Raw genomic sequence first — 7,102 nt, forward strand, 5'->3', positions numbered from 1 at the left:
CAGACCACCAGTTTACGATGTTTTCCTGGTAAATGTATTATAAATTTAAAGGTTAAAAAAGTCTTAAAATAATAGTAAAGAACATTTGGAAGAAAGAACAACCTTTATGACCTCAAATACAGAAATCATATAAAATGGAAGCAGAGTGCAGTGGTGCACCTGTAGTCCCAGCTACGCAGGAGGCTGAGGCAGGAAGATTGCTTGGGCCCAGTAGTTCCAGGCCAGCCGTGGCAACAATGCAACACCCCATCTCTAAAAAGAAAAAAAAAAAATCTACTAAAAATACAAAAATTAGCCAGGCGTGGTGGCAGGCACCTGTAATCCCAGCTACTCGGGAAGCTGAGGTAGGAGAATTGCTTGAACCCGGGAGGCAGAGGTTGCATTGAGCGGAGATTGCACCATTGCACTACAGCCTGGGTGACAGAGTGAGACTCCATCTCAAATAATAATAATAATAAATATAAATATAAATAAAAATTCCATATATAAAAATATATATGGGAAAGTATCTGCAACTAATATGACAGAAAATTTAAAATATTGTTAATAAATTTTAAAATACATATATTGGCTATCTCTTGTTGGGAAATTATGATAATTTTTATTTCTTCTTTGAACAATTCCTTACTTTTAAAAATAAACATCTAAGTATAAATATCTGAATAGCATATAATGAATATTTAAAAATATATATTCATAAATCAAGAAATCTCAACCACTACCTCAAATGTATTTTTATTTCTTAATACCAGATGACTTTTATTTCACTAATTAGAATTGTACTTCACCATATAATATCACCCATTACCTCACACTACCCATATTGTTCCATTCTGGGTGAGTATATATTTTAACATTCAAACTGTTGCCTTCTCAACTTTTCTGTGTACCCTTGAAATCTTAAATATATATCTAACATTTTACTAAAGATATTATTTCTCATAGTCAACAAATAAACAGCAGGCTTTCTTGTTTTATAAAAACATATTGTAAAGTGATAAAAATCACTCTAGTCACATACCATAGTAAAAATCAATAAAAAGATGTGCACTCCAGGAAAACTGTCTTTTTGATAGGGTTTTTGTAATATATAAAACAAACTAAACTAAAAAACTTTAATCTTCCTTAAACATTAATATCATAGATAATAATTTTATATCTTACAGTCTCTTCTAATCTTGTGAGCTTTGCTCCATTGCTACTGTCATTTACTAAAGTACTGATACTTCTGTGATTCCAGTATTTGACTCATCATTCAAATATTAAGCCTTGAGAGCTCCCTATCTGTGTCTCTATCAACTTAATTATTTTGTTCCCTAAAATGTTCTTTCAAGTGATTTTCCTAATACATCCTTATTATGACTGTTATATTCCATGAACTAATACTAGGTAGGTATCCATACCAGAGTTTGTAGCATTCTTATCATAAATCTTGAGTCATAATCACCTACACACTAGTTTTGTTTGCCACTTGTAAACAAGGATATTACTACCAATCTGAAATTCTTTAATGTGGCATTCCAATTCTCTGAAATTAAAAATTAATACATTTGGCTTGGAATTGGTGTAAGTGAAAAAATCACATCGATCATGAGTTTAAACTAGATATTCATGTATCAAATGAACCATGAAAACCATAGAGAATAAGCATTTTAGAAATAGATGGCACATCTGCAACATCTTTCTTACAGAACTATCTCTGCTGTGGTTTCTTTCTCAGTTATTAATGTCACCATGACACTCAACTGACATTTTGAAATTATTAATGACAGTGCCACATGTCAACGAACTTTTTGTCAGGGTATTGACCAAAGCATACAAATGTAAGTGACTGGATTCTAGCCTCACTTTTTCCTTTTCCATTTTGGTTTCCATCCTCTTTTAAAGGATCTTAAGTCAAGTACGCTGATTTGCTGAATGAGAGCTGGGCTCTTCAGTTTTTTTTCTTTTTCAGTTGACTCTGGCTCTCAATATGTAAACAACTCAAGAAGGAAATATTGATATGAGAGTTAAATACTGGGATTTCATAACCTAATAAATACTCACGTGCGCAGTGTAAGTAATGGATAAGAGTTGTTCTCGGATGTATTCCAGAATTTCAAAATAAACTTATGAGGCTCAAGGGTCTGCCGGTGGCATTTATATCTCATTATTTCTAAAAGGATTCTATTTAGCAAATATTTACTTCATGTTTACTATGTGCAAGACACAGCAATAGATATATACAGGTGAGTAAGGTACAATTCTTAACACTCTAGGGTGTATGTTAATTTGGCTCTTACATGAAGTACCTCTTCTAACTAGGTTTTTTTTTTTTTTTCTAAATCAGCGTAGTACCTTCATACTTTTGGAACTTCTCATTAGAAATGAGAACCAGCTGCCCTTATCACATTCATATCATTCAGTTAATATATGATTTAAACAATATATTTAACAAATGAATACTATGTATGTCGACATTACATCAAATATTTTGTCATTTCCAAAATTTTATTTTATTTTTAATTTTATTTTTACTGGGTTTTTTTTGAGACGGAGTCTTGCTCCGTCACCCAGGCTGGAGTGCAATGGCTCAATCTCAGCTCACTGCAACCTCAGCCTCCCGGGTTCAAGCGATTCTCCTGTTTCAGCCTCCTAAGTAGCTGGGATTATAGGCATGCGCCAAAACGCCCGGCTAATTTTTGTATTTTTAGTAGAGACGGGGTTTCACCAAATTGGTCGGGCTGGTCATGAACTCCAAAATTTTAATTCTTAATCAGTGAGTTGTTAACTTGTTTCCAAACTACAAGCTATTAAGAAACGTAAGTACTTAGAGGATAAAAGGACAGATTAACTATTAATGTAATGTGCCTGCAATAGTTGACACCCTACTTAGCATGACCATTATGTACTACAGCCTACAAAATTATTCTTCATGCTCCCACAGCAGAGCTAGTGCACCATATGGCCATGCTTGTTTTTCATCAAATAATTTTTACATAAACAGCTGGTGAACTGCTTTTATTGTAACAGTGCACATATTTTTTCAGACAGTTGGGAAGGATTGATGCAACTCTAGTCACTGCCTGTTTTTATGTCAATGCTAAAAAGAAATTTGATTTGATATTTTAAAAATGTAGACTTTTGTATTTGTTTGATCATGGTCAGTTCATAAGAGATTTTTTTTCACTTAGTGCTGTAATTACTGGCATGTTTACAAACTTGTAGCAAGAAATAAAAAGTAATCATAAGGGATCTTCAACCTAACATGGTATACTCAGTGTTTATTTTTATACTCTTTTGGATTTTTAGCAGCAGAGCTGATATGTTGTGGACAATTTTATAGGCAGTTTTAATGTTACTATATTTGGTTTTGAAACATAGCTTCAACACATTCTGATAAGTGACATAATAACCAGAAGATTTTTAGCAGTTTTGTGTGTACCTGTGATTTGAGTTGATCTGATGACTATTTGCTCCAGAAGCATCCCCTCAACCTCCATAATAAGAAATTTTATCTGTTAAAGTCACTAGTGGGTTCAAAAATACAAATAGAGAAATTTTCTTTTGAATTCTAAGTAATGACGACCACTCAGATTTTTTTTGTAAGGAGGTTATCACAATGCTTATTAGAATGTTAAATTGTAAATCTTTAAATCTTTACATCAAATTTTATATTTAATGCCTCATCTCCCTGTAACCAGAAGTTACTCCCATTAGAAAACTGGTAAGGAGTCACGTATCATGATACCTCATTGATTACTTTTTCATAGAATATTAGAGACCATGCAATATATTTCATTATGGAGGAGAATGAATGCTTACTATTGTGCCATTGAAAATTTTAGAACCTTGAGGTAAGAAGAATTAAGAACATCTATCTGTCACACACTAATGATAATTATATGTAAAATGTAAGATGAAGGAAGTTTTCCCAACCCTACTGCTTCCATTATATTCACCTATCTGTCCTTTATAGCTTCATTTCATTTAGTGACCCATATTTTCACAAAATATTTTATTTTATATATAAAATGGAAAAAGAAGGGACCTTATTACAATTTGCTTAAGCTATAACTTTCTGTTGAAGAAACTCATCTGAAATAAGCTTTACAATAATAAATGCATTTGGCAACTTGTCACTTAAACATATAACAATTCAAACCAATTTCTTTATGTGAATTTTAACTGATGTCCTGCTGTTTCTTTTCTCCCAAACCTATGATATTCATATGGATGTTTAGAAAATGAATTAGGTGAGACAATCTAATTCCCTTTGTAGAGACATGGATGAAGCTGGAAACCATCATTCTCAGCAAACTATCACAAGGATGAAAAACAAAACACCGCATGTTCTCACTCATAGGTGGGAACTGAAGAATGAGAACACATGGACACAGGAAGGGGAACATCACACACCGGGGACTGTTGTGGGGTGGGGGAAGGGGGGAGGGATAGCATTAGGTGATATACCTAATGCTAAATGACGAGTTAATGGGTGCAGCACACCAACATGGCACATGCATACATATGTAACAAACCTGCACGTTGTGCACATGTACCCTAAAACTTAAAGTATAATAAAAAAAGAATGCAAATTAAATATGTTTTTGGATGAAGTAAATGATCAATTTTGGATAACTACTGATTTACATGTGTTTATCATATAATTAAAAGTAACATGTTGTACTGTGAAAAAAAAAAGAAAGAAAAAGAAAATACATATAACATCTCCAGATCACAGGGAAACTACATTTGCTGCCCATTATACAAAATCAGGTTTCCTAGGCTCAGGATTCCTCTCCTGTAACGCAATCTACCGCATGTGCCTGTGTCACCCAGACCTTTTCACGTCACCCTGTGGGAACTGTGGATTGAGGAATCAGTGGAAGAAAATGCTGATACTCTGAAAAATGCTGATACCCTGAAAAATGCTGATACCCTATGGGAACTGTGGCTTAAGGGATAGGTGGAAGAAAATGCTAGTACTACTGCTATGGTTAATACAGTTTTTTTGTCTCTTACCCAAGAGCTTTGTGTCTTCTGCCAGCATAAATGAAACAGTGACAGGCTAACTTGTTAGGTGGCAAGAAGGGCAAAGTCTCAGACTCTTTACAGCTCTTGACAGCAAGTACATATCTCTGTTTTTCCTGTTTGTAAACGAAAATCTATTAATAGACTTTAGAAGATGTAAACATAGATAACATTTAATTTTTTTTTCATTTTTCTCCTGTTTTGCTTTATGATAAACTTAATGTGTATTACCAGTTCAAACTTCAAGCCAATTAACTGGCTTAAAATAGCCCATTAAAATTTGATATATGTAATACAGTGAGGAGTAGAAGTAAAACAAGGAATACGGTTTTGACATCAGTTATCAAACTGAATTTACAACTATTTTAACATGTCTGCTTATAGTACTGCATTTTAACAGAACACCAAGCTCACTGAGGTTAAGAAATCATGATAAAAGTAAATTCTAGACCCAGTATACTGGCTCATGCTTGTAATCCTACCACTTTAGGAGGCTGAGGCAGGAGAATCCCTTGAGACCAGGCATTCCAGAAAAGCCTGGGCAACATAGCAACACCTCATCGCTACAAAAACTTTTTTTAAAAAAAATTAGCTGGGTGTGGTGGCACTCACCTGTCATCCTAGCTACTCAGGAGGCTGAGGCAGGATGATCACTTGAACCCAGCAGTTGAAGATTCCAGTGAGCTATGATTTTCCTACCCACCCGCCACCACGCCCCGCTAATTTTTGTATTTTCAGTAGAGACAGGGTTTCACTATCTTGGCCAGGCTAGTCTTGAACTCCTGACCTCATGATCCACCTGCCTCAGCCTCCCAAAGTGCTGGGATTACAGGCGTGAGCCACCGCTCCTGGCCCCATTATGGTATTAATGGATGTTTATTAGTAACATTACATGGTTACGCCACCTATATGATTGTCTTATAATAGTTCTGGCTTCAAAAAGTTACTCACCTAGAACTTATTTAGCATTAATTACAAAGCACCTTCACCCTGTTATTTTTGTTATTGTGAAATTTGGAATTTGGTTAATTATGACCAAAAATATTAGGAATCAATTATAGACTAAGCAATAAAGTGAGTCTTAAAATGTCTGAGATTTCAAAAATCAGTTGAGTAATATACAATACTATCACGGTTATATGAAATTGAAAATCTAATGAAATTACTCAAATTTTGGGCATCTACAAAGCTAAAAATAAGAGGGGTGGAGCCAAGATGGCCGAATAGGAACAGCTCCGGTCTACAGCTCCCAGCGTGAGCGACGCAGAAGACGGGTGATTTCTGCATTTCCATCTGAGGTACCGGGTTCATCTCACTAGGGAGTGTCAGACAGTGGGCGCAGGACAGTGGGTGCAGCGCACCATGCACGAGCAGAAGCAGGGCGAGGCATTGCCTCACTCGGGAAGCGCAAGGGGTCAGGGAGTTCCCTTTGCTAGTCAAAGAAAGGGGTGACAGAGGGCACCTGGAAAATCGGGTCACTCCCACCCTAATACTGCGCTTTTCCAACGGGCACATGGCTCAGAGGGTCCTATGCCCACGGAGTCTCGCTGATTGCTAGCACAGCAGTCTGAGTCAGTGTGGCGATTCCTCAGGGATCTAGAACTAGAAATACCATTTGACCCAGCCATCCCATTACTGGGTATATATCCCAAGGACTATAAATCATGCTGCTATAAAGACACATGCACACATATGTTTATTGTGGCACTATTCACAATAGCAAAGACTTGGAACCAACCCAAATGTCCAACAGCGATAGACTGGATTAAGAAAATGTGGCACATACACACCATGGAATACTATGCAGCCATAAAAAATGATGAGTTCATGTCCTTTGTAGGGACATGGATGAAACTGGAAATCATCATTCTCAGCAAACTATCACAAGGACAAAAAACCAAACACCGCACGTTCTCACTCATAGGTGGGAATTGAACAATGAGAACACATGGACACAGGAAGGGGAACATCACACTCCGGGGACTGTTGTGGGGTGGGGGGATGGGGGAGGGATAGCATTAGGAGATATACCTAATGTTAAATGACAAGTTAATGGGTGCAGTACACCAACATGGCACATGTATACATA

At 36.1% G+C, this 7,102-nt stretch overlaps 2 annotated features.

The window, feature by feature from the left end:
* Positions 5,878–6,390: an enhancer, noted in NCBI's record as "H3K27ac-H3K4me1 hESC enhancer chrX:27818821-27819333 (GRCh37/hg19 assembly coordinates)". NCBI's record gives its function as "activates a minimal SCP1, AML or CMV promoter by ChIP-STARR-seq in naive H9 embryonic stem cells {active_cell/tissue: H9 hESC(naive)}" and the evidence as "EXISTENCE:reporter gene assay evidence [ECO:0000049][PMID:30033119]".
* Positions 6,391–6,902: an enhancer, noted in NCBI's record as "H3K27ac-H3K4me1 hESC enhancer chrX:27819334-27819845 (GRCh37/hg19 assembly coordinates)". NCBI's record gives its function as "activates a minimal SCP1, AML or CMV promoter by ChIP-STARR-seq in naive H9 embryonic stem cells {active_cell/tissue: H9 hESC(naive)}" and the evidence as "EXISTENCE:reporter gene assay evidence [ECO:0000049][PMID:30033119]".

This window comes from Homo sapiens, chromosome X (assembly GCF_000001405.40).
Source record: "Homo sapiens chromosome X, GRCh38.p14 Primary Assembly".
Lineage (NCBI taxonomy): Eukaryota > Metazoa > Chordata > Mammalia > Primates > Hominidae > Homo > Homo sapiens.